Below are 23,122 nucleotides of genomic sequence, written 5' to 3'. Positions count from 1 at the left end.
AATTTGATCTCTTTGGGAGAGTGTGAGGACTAAATGAGATAATGTTTGTAAAGAGTTTGGCCTAGAGCCTAGTACACAATAGGAGGAGCCTAATAATTGCTAGCTCTATCCATGTGCCTCATATTTAAAATGTCATTCCATTGACTTCTGGCTTCCATCATTTCTATTGAGAAGTCAGCTCTCAGTCTTATTGTTGCTTCTCTGAATTCTTTAAGACATTTGTGTCTTTCAATAGTTCAACTAGATGTACCTAGTTGTGTTTTTCTTCATATTTATCCTGCTGGCATTTCATTGTGTTAAGTCAACATGTAGCTTGAAGTCTTTCATCTGCTCTGAAAAATTCTCAGCTATTATCTTTTTTAAAACAGCATTTAGTCCATTCTCTTTCTCTTTCTACTCTAGAACTCCAATTATACCTATGCTAGACTTTATCACTGAGTCTAGTCCCACTTATGCTTCTTTCTGTATTTTTATTCGCTTTTTTACTGTAGGTATTAGTCTGACTAAACCTCTCTTCAGCTATATATAATTTGCTTATAAATTCCTATGCTACCCTCTTTTATTGTGCAACATTCTATGATGAAAACAGTCAAACACAGAACTGTTGAAAAAATTTTATATTAAGTACCCATATATCTATCTACCAAATAGATTCTACCATTAATATTATATTATACTTATGTTATCTTATCTCTCTGTCAATTTAACAATCATCTTACTTTTCAATGTATTTCCAATTAAATTGCAGATATCAGTGCACTTCCCTTAAATACTTTAGAATGCATATCATTAATTAGAATTCTGTATTTGTTGTTTACAGATTTTATTTCTTTTGAGGTAGAATTTATGCACAATGAATTGCATAAATCTTAAACCTTTATTTCCTGAGTGTTGATAAATGCAAACACTTGTATAAACACATATTTCTGGGGGAATACAATTCAACTTATAAGACATAGAACCCATAAGATATAGGAGATTTTTATCATCATCTAGAAAGTTTTCTCATCCCCTTTTCCAGTCAATCCCGGTGTCTACACCAATGAGCAAGCACTGGTCTGAATGTTTTTTTTTCACCATAGATGAGTTTTGCCTGTTCTAGACTTCCTAGAAAGTGTATTATTTTATGTAAGAATTTTTTACTCAACATAACACTTTTGAAATTCATTCATGTTGTTAAATGCATAAATAATTATATTAGTTTCATAGGATGGCTGTAAATTAAGTATCAAAAACTGGATGGCTTAAAACAATAGAAGTTTGCTACTTCTGGAGGCTAGAAGTCTGAAATCAAGGTATTGGCAAGGTCATGCTCTCTCTTACAGTTCTAGAACAGAGTCCTTCCTTGACTCGTCTAGATTCTGGTGTTTGCCAGCCACCCTTGCGTTCCTTGGCCTGTAGATGCATTACTTCAGCCACATGACTGTCTTCTCCTTGTGTATTTACATCATTTTTCCTCCGTATGTTTATCTCTGTGCCCAAATTTCCCCATTTTATAAGATTATCAATCATATAGATTAGGACCCACCCTAATGACCTCTTTTTTTTTTTTTTGAGATAGAGTCTCGCTTTGTTGCCCAGGCTGGAGTGCAATGGCACAATTTTGGCTCACTGCAACCTCCGCCTCCCGAGCTCAAGCAATTCTCCTGCCTCAGTCTCCCAAGTAGCTGGGATTATAGGCATGCGCCACTGTGCCCAGCTAATTTTTGTATTTTTAGTAGAGATGGGGTTTCACCATGTTGCCCAGGCTGGTCTTGAACTCCTGACCTCAGTTGATCCACCCGCCTTGGCCTCCCAAAGTGCTGGGATTACAGGTGTGAGCCACCGCATCTGACCCATGACCTCATTTTAACCTCATTTTCCCCTATAATCACCCTATTTCTAAACAAGGTCACATTCTTTGGTGCTGGAGATAGAACTTTAAAGTATCTTTTTGGGAAGACACAATTCAAACTAAAATGACAGTTCATTCTCTTTTATTGCTGAGTAGTAGTATACTGTATGACTATTTCACAGTTTGGTTTTAATCCATTCTGTTGATGGATAACTGAACTGATTCTAGTTTTGAGCTACTATGAACAAAGCTGTTACAAATACACTTGCACAAGTTTTTTTTTTTTTTTTGCAATGATATGTTTTTTATTCTCTTGGTTACATACCTAGGCATAGAATCGCTGGATCACGGGAAAGGTACATGTTTAGTTTTATAAGGACCTGTCATATCTTTTTCCTAGGTTGTTGTGCTGTTTCACACACTTACTAACAATGTGCAAGAGTTTTGATTGTTCCACATTGTCACTGTCACTTACAACACGGTCATGGTAATAAGTAGTTTTAATTTTAGCTATTCTGGTGGATGATCAGTGACATCTATTGTATTTTTTTATTTTAGATGCTATTTTCTAGTTTTAGAATTTCCATTTTATTCTTTTGATATAAATTTCCATTTTCTGGTTGATTTATCTATCTTATCATCTATTATCTTTAATATATTAACCATGGGTATTTCAAAGTCTATGTATTAAAACCAATACCTGAATCACATGTGCATCAGGTCCTATTTTTTTTTCCTCATTTTTTTTCTTGTATTCCTGGTAATTTTTTGTTTAACTTAAATTATGGAAATCATGTACAAAATTTACGGTTTCTAGAAAATGTTACCTTTTTCTAGAGAGGATTTCCTTAGCTTCTGGGAGGCAATTAGCCCAGGCATGGATTACTTTAATCCAAACAGAGACTGAGCTTATTCAGTGCCATGTTTCAGTCTTTGTAAAGCTGATCTATTTCCAGTTTAATCGCACTCTTAGACTGCAGCTCTTCTGGAGTTCAGTTGAAGGCTCGAGGTTTTTATTAGAAGCCCATTCTTTCGGTGATCTTTTAATTCCATTTTTTATCTCCCCAGAATTACAAAACTGACAAAAATCATGTTTCGATTCTTAATCTCATAGCAGCTAATTTCTGCTCTGCTCTCTACCTTTCAGCCTACAGTACATACAAATCGGCAAATGCCTCAAGGGGAAAAAAAGACTCAGACTGTTGGGCTCAATTCTTTTAATATTATCCCTGGGAACTTGGCCTCTCTCAGGTCCTGGCTGCCTTAGCATCTTTAAATCTAAATTTGGTCTTCCCAGAACCTTCAGATTGCTAAGTTTCTTTAAAATGCTATTAACCGTTTAAAGCCGAAACAATTATAATGGACTGTGGGGCTTATAATATATGTTGAATTAAAACATATCACAAGAATACAAAGAATGAAGTGGAGGTTAAATAACATTATAAGGCTATATAGTTCTTGGATTGTTCTTTAAGTAGTGTAGTATTATTTGAAATGATGCTGTGATAAGTTAAGAATGCATATTGTGATCTTTAGGGTAAACACTAAACCATACGTGAAGACACCCACCTATACACACACACACAGACACATAAAAAAGTTATAGCCATGTGCTACATAACGGACTGCATATACAACAATGGTTCCAGAAGATTATAATACCATATTTTTACTGTATCATTTCTATGTTTAGATACAGAAATACCACCATTGTGTTCCAATTGCCTACAATATTCAGTACAGTAACATGCTGTACAGATTTGTAGCCTAGGAGCAACAGGCTATATCATATAGCCTAGGTGGGTAGTATTCTATACCATCTAGGTATATGTAAGTAAATTCTATGATGTTTGTGCAAGGATAAAATCATTTAATGATGTGTATCTTTGAACTTGTTCCTGTTATTAAGTGATACATGAATGCATTGCTAAAAAGTCAATGAAGTAGATAAAATTGAATTTTAAAAAACTCTATCATATTTCACCCCAAGATACACTCCTTTGCCATATTTTGAGATGGCTATTCCGAGGTCCTGCAAACAAGAATAGCCCTGAAAAGTTGCCTTTCGTGGAGGAGATTTGCATCTGTACAGAAAAATCTACTTTAGTGAAATAAACAGCCAGGCTTTCTCTGAGGCGCTCCCCTTTATTCAGACCTAGGAAAGATTAACTTAACCAGAGGCTTCCCCATCTATTCTTTCTGAAAGCTGCTACCTGTGAGGTTTTATCTACATAACGAGATCATCTTTGCCCCATGCCTTTCTTTTTCTCTCTCCTTGCCATATTCCTAGCCCCTATTTTTCCTGTAAGCTCAAGATAGTATAAAAGCAAAATCAATCTAGCCCTTTCTTTTAGTTTTAATATTTTGTATGACTCTCATGCACATGTGAACATGTTAATTTTTGTAATGCCTTTTCTCCTGTTAATCTGCCTTTTGTCAGTTGATTTTCAATGAGCTTTCAAAGGAGCCTACAGCAGTGTTAAACTGAACTGAGCAAAGCCATAATTATATTAAATGTAAATGCATTAAGCACTCCATTAGAAAGAAAGAAATTATAAGATAATAAAAAGCAAAACCTATTTACATGTTGCTTATAAGAAACATTCTACAACATCTAAAAACACAAGTTAAATTTAAAAGAGTGGAAAAAATTATTGGGCATATACCTGAAGGAGTATAAATAATTCTACTACAAAGATACATGCACACATATGTTCATTGCAGCATTATTCACAATAGCAAAGGCATGGAATCAACCCAAATGCCCATCAAGGATAGACTGGACAAAGAAAATGTGGTACACCATGGAATACTACGCAGCCACGAAAAGGAATGAGATCATGTCCTTTGTAGGGACATGCATGGAGGTAGAAGTCATTATCCTCATCAAACTAACACAGGAACAGAAAACCACTGTATGTTCTCACTTATAAATGGGAGCTGAACAACAAGAACACATGGACACAGGGAGGGGAACAACACACACTGGGGCCTGTCAGGGGGCTGGGGAGAGGGAGAGCATCAGGATAAACAGCTAATGCATGCAAGTCTTAATACCTAGGTGATGGGTTGATAGGTGCAGCAAACAATCATGGCACACTTTTACTTATGTAACAAACCTGCACGTCCTGTACATGTATCCCAGAACTTAAAATAAAATAAGAGTGGGAAAAGATGTATCACACAAGTACTAAGCGTAAGAAAGTTGGTATCTATCTTATGACAAAGGAATGCCATTTCTAGGTATTCAGCTGAGAGAAAAAAATATGTCCATAGAAAGATGTATATGAGACTTTATTCATGATAGCAAAATTTAAAGACAATACAAAGGTCTAACAATCAGAAAATTGATAAAAAAGTGTTATGTATTTGTACAATTGAATACTACTTAACAATAAAAAAGAATAAAGTCTTCACTGACTCAACAATATGGACAAACCTCAAAAATATTATTTGTTTGAAGGAAGCTAGATGCTAAAGAATTCCATGCCAATAGAAATCAGAAACTTCTTACCTTTGGGAGAAGGTAAACTAACTGGAAAAGGGGCATGAGGAAAATTTTTAGGTTGATGAAAATGTTCTATATCTTATTTGGGTGGTTGTTAGGTGGAGATATATAATTATAAAATCATTAAGCAAAACACTTAAGATATGTGTATTTTATTTTGTGTGAATTATAGCTCAAAAAAAATTTAGAGTGAAGTATCAGATTAAAACAAATATGGAATAAGACATTACTCAATTATATTTATTTGTTTGTTTTATTTATGACAGAAGACAATATATACAACTTGTTAAAGAGAAAAAAAAACTATTCCAAAGGTTGAGTTGTTTTTTTTGCCATCTTATTTTAATGGGTCAACTAGTAACATATGTAACTGAATATGAGATTGAAACCATTGAAAAGTTTAGTAGATCAATAAATTCCTTCTTCCAGTGATGGTGGTTCTAACAGAACTCTTAATGGTAGATCCAGTGTACATCTCATATGTCCAAAATATTGTATAAACCTGTGTAGAAAGGGTTTGTGTTTAAAGAGCTCAGTGTTTGTGCTCTGAGGAGTATATCAAAATTACATAAAACATTAAATAAAAGAGCTATTTACTCAGACTAAAATAACATGCATTCACAATTGTTTTATAACTTGTGCTGAAAAAATGTTTAGAGATTTCTGGGAACCAAAAGAATCTTAATACTATATTATAAATATTTTCAAAGATTTAAGGTAAAGATGGATATAATATATGAACAAATAGCGGTTCACAGTAGAGAAATGAGAACTATAAAAATTCAAATAGAAATTTGAGAAGATGGAAAATTTACTGGAGGTTATAACAACAGATTGGACAATCAGAAAAAAAAATAACTGTACTTGCAGATAAGTCAACAGAAACAAACCAACCAAAGCACAGAGTGAAAAAAGAGATTGGAAAAATTAAAAATAACCATATCGATCTTTTGATTGTGTGGCAATATCAAAACATCGAACATACATGGAACTGGAATTGCAGAAAAGGGAGAGAAAAGAATTGGCATTAGCAAAAATATTTGAAGATAACATGCTCAAATGTTTTCCAAATTGAAAAAATCTGTATGAAAGCTTAATTACTTATTAAAGATAAAAGCTTAGCGTGACTTGCAAAGTGATCTTTTCTTACCCAGCAAACTGATTTGCCATTGGGAGTTACAATTTTTAAACAGCTTTACTGAGATATAATTGACAAAATCAACTACGTATGAAGTGTACAATTTGATACATTTTGACTTATCTATAAGCCCCCCCAATTTTTCTTATGCCCATTTATAATTTCTCTCTCGGATCTTCCTGGTCTCCAGACACCTAGCCATCTGAGTTCCATCACTAAAGATTTGTTTTCATTTCTAGAAAATTTCATTTTCTAGAATTGTATGTAAATTGAATAATATGGTAGGTACTTCTTTTTTGCTTGATTACTTTCACTCATCATAAGGTTCATCGATGTTGTTGTGCCTATTAATAGTTCATTTCTTTTTATTGTTAAGTAATATAATTGCTTATAGCCAATTACTAGAACTGTTAAAACGAAGCTATGGTGATAGAAATCCGGAAAGTGATTACCTCTGCATGAGGGGTGAGGAAATTGATTGTAAAGAGCCATGAAGGGAATTTCTTTGGTATGGGTGCTGCTTATATGGGTGCATACATTTGTTGCAACCCACTGAACTGTAAACTTAAGATGTTTGCTTTTCACTGTGAATAATTTATACCTTGATAAAAATAAGAGGCAGGGTTTGAAAAAAAATCACCAGATGTGGTTTTAGTTCACCTAATTGCCAAAATACTTGTTGATATTTTCATGTGCTTGAGTCAGTGATTTATTTTTCATATATCTGGTTACTCTGAGTACCATCTTTGACATAACTTTAAAGCATTTCCCTATTATTTAACTCTTTTGTGAGGGCAAATTTATGAAAAGTTTACTGTAGGACAAGCTTTCTCAAAACATTCCAACTAAATCAATCATTACTGCCTCCAAGTTATCTTTATAAAAGTAATATCTATGCCCCAAACTGAGTATACCTATGATATTCCCCAATATATCATGTATTAAAATGGAGTAATGGAGTTGTTAATGATAATGTTTCATTCATATATATAATTTTTCCTCTATCAATAAAATATAATATGTACCCTACATACTAGATAGAATTAAATTTTATCATAAAAACCAAGAAAAATTATTCAAATGAACTTACAGCTCAAATAATTTCAATAAAATAACATTTTTATTGAATGACAAATGATTAAAGTCTAGGTATTAACTTATTTGTTCAAACATTTATTGACTACCTATAACATTTCTGATTTATATGCTTTTCCACTTCTAAGTATCTTTGGTATTTTCATAACATAATGAAACACATAAGCTACATTATAAATGGTAGCTTATATAGAAAAGTGGTTACATTTTTTGGTGTGTTTTGGTATACACAATGCAATATGAAGCTATGTATAATTAAGCCATACTCAATATTGAAGCATTATTGAATATTCAATATTACACTTAATATTTACCTCTATATAACCTAACTAGAGGACGCTGGGGTCAGAGCCCACTGGCACATGAACCACCACTTGTAACATTCTTTTCACAGTATGTTCAGTCTTCCATTTTGTTTCAGTACCATTCATTATAGCAGAGCAAAAATGTACAATTTGGTGTCTGAGTGTCTTTGAAAAATAATTATTCAGACAAACAAATGTAATATTACTGGTTTGGGTTTGCTTCTGTATGGTTTGGATTGTAATTTTTCAATTAGAACCTCAATGAAATAATCATCATTCAATTATAGTTTATCTCCCTACTTGCTCTTCTCATCTTCAGATCCCATCATCTGAGGCTCTGAATCATCCAGGACAAAACAGGAGCACCCATGCTGGGCTGCTTTTGTGCTACATGAGACTCCAACATCATTCTCCTTATTGGAAGGGACTCTCCAGGAGCTTCCTTTTGTCCTTAGAAAGATGTCAAACTCCTTGGCTTGTCAGCCCCTCTGAAGAGTGGCCCCTCTCTTACCTGTGACCTTCTTTGGCCCACCCTGCTCCCCCTGGGCTCAGCACTCCAGTTGCTCAGGTCTTCTCTCTGATCCCAGAGGCTGCCAGGCTCATCTTGTGTTTTCATCTTTAGAATGTTCTTCCTCAGATCTTCACAAAGCTAGATCTTCCTTATCATTCCAATCTCAGCTTAAATACTACTACTTAGCAAGACCGTTCTTAAAATCTCTTATGATGTGGCCCCTCTTCTTATCCTTTATGGTGCTACCTGTGGGTTTTTATTTTCTACATTGAATTCTTACTCTTATCTGATTTCCTGTTAGTTTACTTCTACATTTTCTGTTAGACCATAAGCAGGGCTGTGCATTGCCCAACTCCAGGCAGACCCCTCACATTGTTGTCTATGTGGATGTTGTTCCTGGAGTGAGACAGGGTAAACCTGCCAGCCTCACACAGTGAGCTTGGTAACAGAAGCTCCTGGTAAATGCTGTTATTCCTAGTACCTAAAACAGTGCCTGACACACAGCAGGTGCTCCAAATATATTGCTAGAAAATGAACTCTTAAATTTAATGGTTTCTAGAGGCCTAGGGGAGCTAGAGAATGTATTTTAGCTGTAATCTTTTCCATTTCTATTGCTCTGGTGTGTTCCTCCAAAGAAAACCTATATTTAAAATAGTAAATATGACTAAATTTCTGATATAAATTACAAAGAAAGGAATCAATCATTTACCTGAATTGCTTAAGAAATTGCTTAAGGCTAATATGCTCATGTTACTGATAGTTTAATTTTAATGATTATAGGAAGAATTTTTTAAAAATCTTTTTCATTAACATTTGTATTTGTATATTAATCATAAATAACTAATGTGCTACCAGTATGGGATATTACCCATCTCTATAAATCTTTTGGGATAAGACCACTTTGCTAGGTAGATTAGATTTCACAATAATTTATATGAGTCTTTGAACTGAAAAATATTCCTCATTCTCAAACATTAAATATGCTGATGAGAAGTCATAACACATTTTATTTAAAAGGAAATATAACATTTTCTTCCAAAAATTCAAGCAAACGCAATCATATAGATAAATGAAGAAAATCTGAATTTGTGAACTAAAAATTAAGATGACCAGGATTATAAAATTTAAAATAGATTCTCCATCATATATCATACATTTATTCAGTTTTAGTATAAAGATCCTGCATAGGAAGTATTTAAACACTGCAGGGTTAGGTTTTCCTCACTGTGACTCATCTTTGGACTCAAGGATGAATGTACACGAGAGCTTTGGTCAGATTAGGTGAACGTGGTCTATTTGATTAGTAATTGATCCTGCGTGCATGTCACATTCCCTGGAATTGATAACAACCACAAAAAAGCCAACCCCTTTGCCTTCAAACCCACCTATGAAATAAAAATGCTGCAGCTAGTGTGTTTTTTAAAAATAGACATTTTATTACACTGCAGCGTTTCCTCCTTTTTCTCTGTGGTATCATTTGAAGTCTGTTTTTTAAAACAGAAGTTGAACAAATGAATCCTTCTGTCCTCACTTTCAGTTGTCAGCAGTGCTTCAGTGTGAGATGAAATAAATTGCCAAGCCCTTTCATCTTCTATAATCAGCTCTGCACAGCTGAGTACACCCACAGCCCTGCATGCCGCCTCTGCCAGCGCTGATTCTATGTGGAACAGGAAGTCTTTGTTAGTGCCACATTTCCAACGCTCTACACAGGAGTGGGTTTATTTTGCTTCCCTCCTTCCTTTCTTGCTCCCTTGCCTCTTCCACCTCCTTTCTCCCTGCCTGCACAGCTGACGTGCAGTTCATTTCCTGTAGGAAAGAAGTTTGGGGGGATTGACATTATTTTTTTTAAAAAGATATGTCTGAGGTAGGTTTTTTCCATCCTGCAACACAATCATGCGTATCATTCCTTTAGTCATGTACAAATTGATGAGCATTACAAATGGGAAGTTATTTGGAGAAGTCCTAAACAATGCCTTTACTAGGTCAAGATGTTATTTTATTTTGTTTTGCTTTATTTTATTTTACTTATTTTATTTTATTTTTTAGAGACAGAGTCTCACTCTGTCACCCAGGCTGGAGTGCAGCGGTGCGATCTTGGCTCAGTCTCCCAAGTAGCTGGGATTACAGGCTCATGCCACCACTCGTGGCTAATTTTTGTATTTTTACAAAATTTCACCATGTTGGCCAGGCTAGTCTCCATTTCCTGGCCTCATGTGATCCGCTCGCCTTGGCCTCCCAAAATGCTGGGATTACAGGTGTGAGCCACCATGCCTGGCCCAAATGCTTTATTTTTAAAAGCAGAGAAGCAGCACATTTATAACACCAAGGATATCCACAGAGATTTACTTATCACATTCCAGGTTTTATATTTCTAGCACCCAAACTACGTGGACTTCTATTAGGGAACAAAGCAGGGCATAACAGGTTGGTGTAGGGGCTACAAACAAATATCTGCTAGTTATTGCTAGTTTTCATTGTTCTTGTTTTCTGCCATGAACCCGAGTTCCTTTCAAGATCGTCCTTCCTTTAGTCCATGTACTTCTGGTGGGGCTACCAGTCCCTGATTTCTCCTTTTCTGCATCTTCTTCCTCCTTATCCCCACTACCATCATTCTGCTCTTCATCATAGTTGTCAGCACGGTGGTTATTAGGTGTCAGGTGCTAGTCTTAATGCCTTACATGTATAAACTCAGTTTAATCCGTTTGGCACAGTTTGGCTAAATGATTTGCCTAATGTCACGCAGCTAGTTAAGTGGTGAAAGTGAGATCCAAACCTGGGTATTGTGTCTCCAGACTTCTGTTCTTATCTAGTTCACAATAGTGCTGCTCTAAGGGTGGGCAGATGACTTACTTGTACCCTACCTGCCTGGAAACAAAGATTAGTCCAAGGCTGGGCACATGGTCCAAGAGAAGGGAGATGGTATGGGTAGAAGTTGCACATTTTGTCTTTCTGCAGGCGTTACAAAGCTAGCAGGATGGGACTCTGGGGCTGTTAGGGGACATCATACCCGTCGTGTGCAGAGATGGAGCCTTGATACTTACTGAGTTCTGTCTGGTCCAGCTGCTCCTGAATGCAGTTTATCCAGAATTTTTTTTTTTTTTTGTAATGTGAGCCAGTAAGTTCTCTTTGTTTGCTCAAGCCAGCTACCTTGGAATGTCTACCACTGTTAGAAGAAGGGTTATCGAGTGACAGAGGAAAAAAGCAAAATGTCAACAATTCCCAAAGAATGCCAGATGTCCCCCATCTACCTGTGCCTACCGTAGCCCACCACTCCCCTCCCCCAGGGCCCTATCCAAATGCAATTAGCCCTGTAAAAATGATAGTGTCTACTCAGTTAAGCCACTGGCTTTTTATACATAAAAAACAAACCCATTTTAAGATGAGAGGATATGCTGGCTTGGAAGTGTGTATTGATCTTTTAAGGCTGAATTTATAAACTCAAATTCTGTCTCAAGTGGGAAAGGACTAGAAATGAATTATTGTTTTCCAGCCACTTTCTGGTGAGAAGGATCGGTAACACTTGGAAACCAATTATAACAGTAACAGACCAGAAAAGTAATTCCTGGGGAATGTCTTTCTCTGGGGTGCTGCTGAACACCAACAGAAGGAAAGTTATTTCTTCTTAAGATTCAAATTAGCTCTTTCCTCAAGACTAAGTTCTTTAGGAACTTGTGATATAAGGAAAGTATATAAGTTGGAAGTACAAAGTCATCATTTCCTCTTAGAGTGGTCCTGTAGTGTGCTCCCAGGTGGTTTTATGAAGACCAAGTTGATGGCCATTTGCCTGAGGTTTGCAGAATTGCCTTGTTTTATGGAAGGAGATTGTGTTGTATTTATCCTGTAAGCCTAGCACCAAACACAGTGCCTTTCACATTACAACAGCTGACATTTATCAAGCACTCTTACATCAAAACTTTTTAAAGAAGCTCATGCACTTTTTTTTAAACTTACTTTGTCTGATGATATGGGTACTGTAACGACCAGCATCCCTATTTTACAGATAAGGAAACTGAGGCACAGAGTTGTTAAGTAACTTTGGCAATCAACCAGGTACCAAGTGGGTGAAGCAAGGGTCTGAGCAGGCAGTTAGGTCCTGAGGCCATATTGTTAACCATTGTGCTATACTGACTTCTCTTGTAGAAGGTGCCTAATGCATATTTCTTGACTGGAACTGAAACTGTTGAATTTCCCATGTGGCCCAGCTAGCAAGAAAACAGGCTTTTTATGTTGTAAAAAAATAAATAGCTACTCCGAGTTAAAAGAGCCAGCCACAATCAAAATTCCTTCATTTTCCTGAGGCTTTGATTACCCCAAGATAATTCTAGTCTGTAGAATCACTTTGCTGTCATCAGCATACATAATTAAATATTTAGTAGGAAAATTAATATATTTAAATTTGTTTAAAATTAAGCTGACCACTAATAGCTCTGCTTATCAGTAGAAACTTTATATTTTTATAGGACAACTTAAGAACATTTTAATGGCCAATAAAATTGCTCCCTAGATCCTAGCAGTTTTCAGATTCCAAAATTGTAGCTGAAGATACTGTTAGTCATTCCTAAATTACTAACTGCTCATTACTGACTTCTAAATTGTCTCGTTTATCTTTACATTTGAGAAAAATAAAAAAATATGACTTCCCTAGAGGTAGATTACATACAAGGTAGATATACTTTATAAACTTATGTATACATTTAAGACATAGGTTGCTATAGAATAAAAACACACTGCACTATCTTTGTATAAATACATCTGAATATAACTAAGTCTATGTATTATCTAATTTGGGGAGAAGGGATCAAAAGATCATACCATTATAAAGTTGATTACAATAATGGTATGATTCAATTGTTTCCATAAATAAATGGATTTTTTTACCAAGTTTAAAAAATACTTACATTAATTTCTATTTTATTTACTTTCTGTGCATTATATATTTAGGGACAGATGTTTAATTATGCATTTCTGCCACTAAAATGTCTACAGTAGTAGACTTTTGAATAGATCTGATCACTTGGAGATTAGACATCAATTAAGACTATTTAACTCAAGTTATTTCATCAAAAACTTTCTAGCTATAAGTAAAAATGAAAGAAGGGCAAAAAACCACAGTGATTGTAAAAAGATGTGTGGCCGCTACATATAAATATAAAGTACTATATTTTGAACTCTCAGGATGGAGAGGATGATGATCTTGAATCATGCTTTTCAAATACATTTAAATATACTGAAGACACTGTGCAGATCTGGGCTTCTGATCTAGGTAAATCCTGGCTGAAACTGGGTAACTCTAACATCCTCTTTGGGAACTATTTCTATGACTTTTTAAAAGCAGACGAAATACACCTTATTTTATCTAGCTAAATGTATTTACTCTGAAAATTCCATGATCATTTTTATGACCTCTTTAAATTCAGTCAACTAAATAATATCAAATGCCAATTCTGTGCAAGGTAATGTGCTTTGTGCTGTGGAAGATACAAAGATAATCAGTCATGGACTTTGTCTTTCAGTTTAATTAAGGGGGACAGACAGGCAATAACTTCATCATGAAATGTGTATGTGCTATGAAAGAGTTGCAAAGTCTATAAGGAACAAAGCAGAGGCTTCAAGAAAATAATTCTGATAGAGTGAAGGCAGGGTGGCTTCAGGGAAGTAGCAGTATTTGAGGTAGACAGAAAGACTTTGACATGGAAAGAGGTGGTGGGGAGGACTTCCCATGAATGTGATCTCTTTTCACCTGAACCCCAATAATCTAGAGATGAGGAGGGGGTACATAATGTACAAATTAAGAGTCCAGTCTAATGTGGAGGGCTCATACAGCAACAATTTCTATTTGTGTGACCTTAATTCCAACATCTACTAATTGGCTACTTCCTATGATTTCTTTAAATCACAATAAATACACATTATTTTATTCTGCTTACTAATGTTGTTTCTAAGCCTCCTCTTCTCATGTACAGTTGAAGGTGAAGTATCACACAGAAACAGCCTGCCACTATTAACTCATGGTTTAGGCCTTGCACTCACACCAAAAGCTGGCTCACCATTCTGTGCAGACTTGACTTGGCAAGGCGGGGCAACATAAATTTCCAAATGTCAGGTTGAGACCCTCACACCTAGGGACTCCAGCAGGACACAGTTTAGACTGTGCTTAGGCTCCCAAGTCCAGGGTTATTCCCTTAAAACTCACCAACTATCCTCTCCTACCTGACTCTGGTATACTAGTGAGTCAGTGGATGAAGAGATACTGGGGGAACCTACCATATACCCAAAGGAAGGGCACATTGAACCCAATCTGTTTTCTCCTTGTGCTGATGATATGTTCCATTTAAAACAATACATTGTATTCTGTTGTTTTTTTAGACCTAGCCTTTGTCTTTTTGTAGCATCTACACTATCAGTCGCTTAGCCCAGTGAGCTCAAAGTTTGTATTTACCCTATAGCTGTTGATGTACAGACATAAATGCCTATTAGGTTATCATAGTGCTAATTTTGTTTCTTATGATTGAGAAATTTTAGGTATAAAAATATAAGTAATTTCTAAAGGCTTGGCCAGGAGCAGCCAGGTTCTTTGCTGTTGGTCACTGTGACCTCCCTGGCCCTTTAGTTTTGGCAGTTTTAGGTCCATAAAGGCTTAGTAGCCTGTAGGAATCTTTCTGTGTAATTTATTCTGTTACAGTTTTTTTCTTAAGTTTCTCACATTTAAAAAATTAGATTATAAAATAATTGTTTCAATGAGGGCTTTAGGCTTAAGATCATTAGATTTTTTTCCATTGTAAAGCATTCGGTAGTACATTTTCCAATATATTTTTTATTGAGGTAAAATATACATATAACATTTACCATCTTTATCATTTTTAAGTATACAGTTCGCTGGTAATAAATATATGTATCTCTATATATTTCTCCCCCTTCATGTGCACTCCTCCCTCCCCTTCCCAGGCTTTAGTAACTGCCAATCTACTCTCAATCTTCATGAGATCCACTTTTCTTTAGCTCCCCTATGTGAGTGAGAAAATGCAATATTTATCTTTCTGTGCCTGGTTACTTTCACTTTGATTCGTCAAAACCTGGTAAAACAGATGCCCGGCTGCTTCCTCATTCACTCTTCAAACCACTTCTCAGAAGTCTTTTGGTTTTCTTGATCATCTTTGAATGTGACCTTATAATTCTGATTGTAGCTCAGTCCACCACACCAAAGATAAACAGAAGAATGAAAGAGGTTGTTACCAACAATGCAGTCCATAGTCAAGCAACACACTAGTGTGTTCTTAATTTTATGAAATATATTTTACTGTCCAGGTAAAAATCCATCCACAGGGGCAAAGCTGTAGCATTCAAATCTTTGTATACATAAGAATCACTAGTCTGTTTAAGTTAGATTTCTGGCTTCATCCTTAAATAATCCAATATAGATTTGGGGTGGGAAGCAGAATCCGCCTTTTAAGTTTTTCAGATACTTCTGGGGCAGCTGGTTTGCAGAACACTTTAAGGAAAAAAAATGCAAAAGTGGCTACTCATAGTTAGCCCCTTTATATCTAGTTTGAATGGTTTTTTTTAAATCAAAATTAATGCTATAAGAGAAGAACAATGATGATTGTTGTGACTTTTAATGTTGCTCTAAATCTGAAATGGAGAAAAACACTAAAGTGCCCAGAGTTTCCTGTGATTTGTCCCTTTAATGACTTCATGAACCACGTGGAAGACCTTTAAAGATTACCACTAGGCTGTGGCCCACACTTTAAGATCACTTTTCTCAGCTGTCTTAAAATTATGGCAGAATGCCCAGAAGCTGATATTTAACATCCATGGAAATATATCTACTTGCAATCTTACAAGTGAAAACAACTTTGAGAAGCCAGTTCCCACTTCATTATTTGGCACTGGATAAAAGTTTTACATCCATAGTAGAGATCCACATTCAAAGACAGAGCCACTTCAATATTCACAATACTTTCATTTACTAAAAATAACAGCAAAGAAATGTGCCGCTGATGTCGATCCCTGGCGGCATTTAGTTTGTTTACACTCTGTCTTAGCTGTGCCCATAATCATGTCTGCAACCTTTGGATATACCTAGAAGAGCCACACAAAGTTGTCATCTATTATAGAGAAGTATAAAAACAAAAATTTCTTCAAACAAATACTTAAATATTTAAAAATGAACCAAAAGTCTATTTGCTAGAATTTAAAAGCAGCAAGTAGATAAACAAATACATATAAAATTATAAAATTATCTGACCTCAGGTGGTTTCAGTATGTTTCATTTTTATGCTTTGTTTGCTTGTTTTAGAGACAGATCTCACTCTGTTGCTCAGGCTGGAGTGTAGTGGCATAGTCATAACTCACTGTAGCCTCAAACTCCTGGCCTCAAGCAATCCTCCTCCCTCAGCTTCCTGAATAGCTATGGCTACAGGCATGTGCCACTAAGGCTGGCTAATTTTTTCGTAGAAGTGGGGTCTCTCCATTTTGCCTAGGCTGGCCTCAAACACCTGCCCTCAAGCTATACTCCTGCTATGGCCTCCTAAAGTGCATGAGCCCTGAACCTGGCCACATGTTTATGTTTAAAAAATATTTTTACTGTAGAATAATTTACATACAACAAACTGTACAAATTTAAAATACACAGTTTTATAAGTTGTAACTGTGACATGAATGCCACTGATATGGTTTGGCTGTGTCCCTACTCAAATCTCATCTTGAATTGTAACTCCCACAATTTCCACATGTCATGAGAAGAACCCAGTAGTAGTTAATTGAATCATGGAGGTGGGTCTTTCCCATGCTGTTCTCGTGATAGTGAATAAGTCTCATGAGATCTGATGGTTTTAAAAACAGGAGTTTCCCTGCACAAGCTCTCTCTCTCTTTGCCTGCTGCCATCCATGTAAGATGTGACTTGCTCCTCCTTGCCTTCCACCATGATTGTGAGGCCTCCACAGCCATGTGGAACTGTATAAATTTTTCCTGTATGAATTACCCAGTCTCAGGTACGTCTTTATCAGCAGTGTGAAAATGAATTAATGTAGTAAATATATATGTTTCCTTCCTAGCCCTTTGGTAATCTCTCCCTCTCCTCCTTATCTTCTACCTCTCTGCTCATCTTCAAGTAACCACTAATTTGCTTTTATTTTTCTGTCTCTATACATTAATTTATACTTTCTAGAATTTCATATGAATTGACCATATACTATTTTCTTGGTCTCCTTTCACTCAGCATAATTATTTTGAGATTCATCCAGGTTGTTATACCTTTGCTTGTATGCAGTAGTAGGCTTTTTCGAAGTTTTGGGCTATTTTACTTTTACATATGTTACAAATGACAAATTATGTTGTCTTTATTATTGTTTAAACAATTACCTGCTACTGAAGTTTAAAAGATAAGAAAAAAGTTTATATTTACCATTTCCAGTGCTCAGCGTTCGTGTAAACCTATATTTCCATCTAGCATCATTTTCCTTGTGCCTGAATGGCTTCCTTTAACATTTCTTGGAATGTAGGTTGACTAGTGATGAAGTCTTTCAGCTAAATTCTGTCTTAAAAAGTCTTTATGTTACCTTTGTTTCAGCCTCATGAAAGATACTTTTCTGGGTAAAGAATTTTAGGTTGACAGGTTGTTTTTTTTTCTTCCTCTTTTGAATACTTTAATTATGTTGTTCTACTGTCTTCTCAATTGCATTGTTTCTGCTGAGAAGTCTGCTGTCATCCTTATCTTTGTTCTGTCTGTAATGTAATGTGTCATTTTCTTTCCTTTTTTTTTTTTAATATATACACTTTTTTACGGCATTTGAGCATTATGCTTTTAATTTGCCTTGGCATTGTTTTCATCATGTGTATATTGCTCAGAGATTGTTGAGTTCCTTAGATCTATGGGCTTATAGTTATCCTTGAATTTGGAAAATGTTCAGGCATTACTTTTTCAAAATGTTTCCTGTCTTCTTCCTCTCCCTCTTTTGGGCACTCCAATTACATACATATTCAGCCTCTGAAATTTGTCTCACATCTCACTGATATTCAGTTTATTTTTTAAATATCCCCTTTTAATCTGTGTTTCATTTTAGATGGTTTCTATTGCTTGGTTTCAGGTTCACTAGTCTTCTTTCCTTCAATGTCTTATCTGATATTAGTCCCCTCAAAAGCATTTTTTAATGTCATACATTGCAGTTTTAATCTCTAGAAGTTAGTTATAGGTTTGTTATTAAAATATTAAATATGGTATTTTGAGATAACTGTAGATTCACATGCAGTTGTATGAATTAATACAGACAGACCTGTGTACTCATTATCTAGTTTCCTCCAGTGATAACAGCTTGCAAAATTATAGTACGATATCACAACCAAAATATTGACATTGATATAGTCAAGACACAGAACATTTCCATCACCACAAGAATCTCTCACATAGTCTTTTTATAGCCACAACAACTTCCCTCTCATCTCCTCTTTAACTTCAGGTAACCAATAATTTATTCTCCATTTCTATAATATTGTTATTTCCAGCATGTTACATAAATGGAATCATATAGTATATAACTTTTTAGGTAGGCTTATTTCACTCAGCATATTTCTCCAGAGATTTATACAGATTGTTGCATGTATCAGTAGCTCTTTCTATTTCTTTCTGAGTAGTGTCCCATCATGTAGACATACTACAGTTTAACCATTTACCCACTGAAGGACATCTGGGTTGTCTCCAGGTTTGGGCTATTATAAATAAGGCTGGTATAAATGTTTGGGTAAATGTTTTTTTGTGTGTGAACATAAGTTTCTGTTTCTCTGGGATAAATTCCCAGCAGTACAATTGCTGGGTCTTATGGTAATTGCATGTTTAGTTTTTTGAGAAACTGCCAAACTATTTCACAGCGTAGCTGTACCATTTCACATTTCATCCAGCAATGTATGAATGATCCAGTTTCTCTGCATCCTTTCCAGAATTTGATGTTGTTACTATTTTTTAACATTGTGATAGCTTCTGGTGTTATCTCATTGTGGTTAATTTGCATTTCTTTAATGGCTAATGATGTTAAACATCTTTTTATGATACATAGATATATTTGAAATCTATATATCTTCTTTGATAAAATGCCATTAGTGTTCATGTCTTTTGCCCATGTTCTAATTGGATTTATTTATTTCCCAGATACTAGTTCTTTGTCACATATGTGGCTAACAAATATTTCTTTTCACTCTGTAGTTTGTCTTTTAAAAATTTTATTAGTTTTTGCAGAACAAACATTTTTAATTCTGAAGTACAATTTATCAATTTTTCTTTATATGAATCATACTTTTGGTATCAAGTGTAAGAATTCTTTGTCCACTTAGGTCCAGAAGAATTTCTCCTATGTTAATTTTCTAAAAGTTTTATACTTTTGCATTTTATATTTAAGTCTTTGGTCCATTTTGAATTAATTTTTGTAAAAGATTGTGACACTTAGGTTAATGGATGTTCATGCTTTTGCTTATGGATGTTTTATTGCTCCTGAACTACTTGAAAAGGCTGTCTGTTCTCCATTGAATTACTTTTGCACTTTTGTCAAAAATCAGTTGGATCTATTAATGGTTGTAAGTTCTGTTCAATTAACCTATGATCTATGTCTATCCCTCTGCAAATACCATATGATCTTGATTACAGTAACTATGTAATAAATCAAATTTCTCACACTTTATTCTTCCTTAAAAATTGTTTTAGGTATTCTAAATATTTTACCTTTCCATATAAATTTTAGAATTTTTTTCTATATCTACAAAAAGTTTTACTGTGATTTTTATAGTTACTGCAAAAAAATCCATATATCAATTTAGGGAGAATTGACATCTTTACTATGTTTAGTCTCTCAGTCCATGAATGGAATGACTTTCCTTTTAATTAGACATCCTTTGATTTCTTTTATCAGTGTTGTGCAGTTTTCTTTTTTTACCCAAGAATTCAAGTAGCTTTAATTTCAATATATTCTTCTTATAAACATTTCATATTTTATTTGTTTATTTTATTTCAATAGTTTTTTTTGGTGAATGGGTAGGTTTGGTTACATGGATACTTTCTTTAGTGGTGATTTCTGAGATTTTGGTGCACCTCTCACCTAGGCAGTGTTTACTGTACACAATATGTAGTCTCTTATCCCTCATCCCCCTCCCACCCTTTCCCCTAAGTCCACAAAGTCCATTCATTGTATCATTCTTATGCCTTTTTATTCTCATAGCTTAGCTCCCACTTATGAGTGAAAACATATAATGTTTGGTTTTCCATTGCTGAGTTAATCCAGTTAGAATAATGGTCTCCAATTCCATCGAGATTGCTGCAAATGCCATTATGTCATTCCTTTTTATGGGAGAGTAGTATTCCATGTTATATATACATATATACACACACACCATATTTTCTCTCTCTCTCTCTCTCTCTCTCTCTATATATATATATATATATATATGTATATATATATATATATATGTATATATATATATACACACACACACCATATTTTCTATTTCCACTCATTGATTGGCAGGCATTTGAGCTGGTTCCATATTTTTGCAATTGTAAATTGTGCTGCTATAAACCTTCATATGCAAGTGTCTTTTTCATGTAATGACTGTTTTTCCTCTGGGGCAGTTACCCAGTGGTGGGACTGCTGGAACAAATGGTAGATCTACTTTTAGTTCTTTAAAGAATTTCCACACTATTTCCTATAATGGTTGTACTAGTTTACATTCCCGCTAGCAGTGTAAAAGTGTTCCCTTTTTACCATATCTATGCCAACATCTATTTTTTTAAGTGTTTTGATTATGGCCTTTCCTGCAAGAATAAGAAGGTATTGCATTATGGTTTTGATTTGCATTTTCCTGATAAATAGTGATGTTAAGTATTTTTTATATGTTTGTTGGCCATTTGTGTATCTCCTTTTTTTTAATTTTTTTACTTTAAGTTCCAGGATACATGTGCAGAATGTGCAGGTTTGTTACATATACATGTGCCATGGTGGTATGCTGCATCTATCAACCCATCACCTAGTTTTAAGCATTAGCTATTTGTCCTGATGCTCTCCATCCCCTTTCCCCTAACTCCAACAGGCCCCAGTGTGTGTTGTTCCTTTCCCTGTGTCCATGTGTCCTCATTATTCATCTCCCACTTATGAATGAGAATATGCAGTGTTTTGTTTCTGTTCCTGAGTTAGGTTGCTGAGGATAATGGTGTCCAGCTTCATCCATGTCCCTTCAAAGAATATGATCTCATTCATCTGTATGGGTGCATAGTATTCCATGGTGTATATGTACCACATTTTCCTTATCCAGTCTATCATTGATGGGCATTTCGGTTGGTTCCATGTCTTTGCTATTGTGAGTAGTGTTGCAATAAACATGCATGTGCATGTATCTTTAAAATAAAATGATTTATATTCCTTGGGGTATATACCCAGTAAGAGATTGCTAGGTCAAATCGTATTTCTGGTTCTAGATCCTTGAGGAATTGCCACACTGCCTTCCACAATGGTTGAACTAATTTACATTCTCACCAACAGTGTAAAAGTGTTCCTATTACTCCACAGATGTGCCAGCATCTGTTATCTCTTGACTTTTTAATAATCACCAATCTGACTGGTGTGAAATGGTATCTTGTGGTTTTGATTTGCATTTCTCTAATGATCAGTGATGTTGAGCTTTTTTTCATGGTTGTTGGCTGCATAAATATCTTCTTTCGCAAATTGTCTGTTCACATCATTTGCCCACTTTGTGATGTGGTTGTTTGTTTTTTTCTTGTAAATTCGTTTAAATTCCTTGTAAATTCTGGATATTAGACCTTTGTCAGATGAGTATATCAGAATTGCCTATTCATGTCCTTAGGTCACTTTTTCATAGGATTGTTTGTTTTGTTCTTGCTGATTTGTGTTCCTTGTAGATTCTGGATATTTGTCCTTTGTCAGATGCATAGTTTGCAAAGATTTTCTCTCACTCTATGAGTTGTCTGTTTACTGTGGGTTCTGGGTCATGAAGTCTTTGCCTAAGTCAGTGTCTAGGAGGATTTTTCCAGTGCTGTCTTCTAGAATTTTTATGGTTTTAGGCTTTAGATTTAAGTCTTTGATCCATTTTGAGTTGATTTTTTTATAAGGTGAGGGATGAGAATCCAGTTTCATACATCTACATATCCTAGCACCATTTGGTGAATAGGATGTCCTTTCCCCCACTTGATGTTCCCCAAAGATCAGTTGGCTGTAAGTATTTGGGTTTATTTCTGGGTTCTCTATTCTGTTCCATTGGTCTATGTACAATTTTTATACCAGTACCATGCTGCTTTGATGACTGTAGCCTTATATTATAGTTTGAAGTGGGTAACATGATGCCTCCAGATTTGTTCTTTTTGCTTAATCTTACATTGGTTGTGTGGGCTCTTTTTGGGTTCCATATGAATGTTAAGACTGTTTTTTCTAGTTCTGTGAAGAATGTTGATAATATTTTGATGAGAATTGCATCGAATCTGTAGATTGCTTTTGGCAGTATGGTCATTTTCACAATATTGATACTACCCTTCATGAGGATGGGATGCATTTCCATTTATTTGTGTCATCTATGAGTTCTTTCAGCAATGTTTTGTAGTTTTCCATGTAGACGTATTTCACCTCCTTGGTTAGGCATATTCCCAAGTATTTTATTTTATTTTTTGCAGCTATTGTAAAAGAGTTTGAGTTCTTTATTTGATTCTCAGCTTGGTCATTGTTGGTGTATAGCTGTGCTACT

The 23,122-nt window shown here is 35.2% G+C and overlaps 1 long non-coding RNA gene across 1 annotated transcript in view; it reads left to right on the top strand.

Annotated features, from left to right (window-relative positions):
- LINC01170 (long intergenic non-protein coding RNA 1170) overlaps window positions 1–23,122 on the top strand; it is a 378,727-nt gene that overhangs the window by 265,521 nt on the left and 90,084 nt on the right. The window lies entirely within an intron of this gene.

The sequence above is a fragment of the Homo sapiens genome, chromosome 5, assembly GCF_000001405.40.
Source record: "Homo sapiens chromosome 5, GRCh38.p14 Primary Assembly".
NCBI classification, from domain to species: Eukaryota; Metazoa; Chordata; class Mammalia; order Primates; family Hominidae; genus Homo; species Homo sapiens.
The sequence above is the reverse complement of the archived record's forward strand: the minus strand, read 5'-3'. Positions and strand labels throughout refer to the sequence as shown.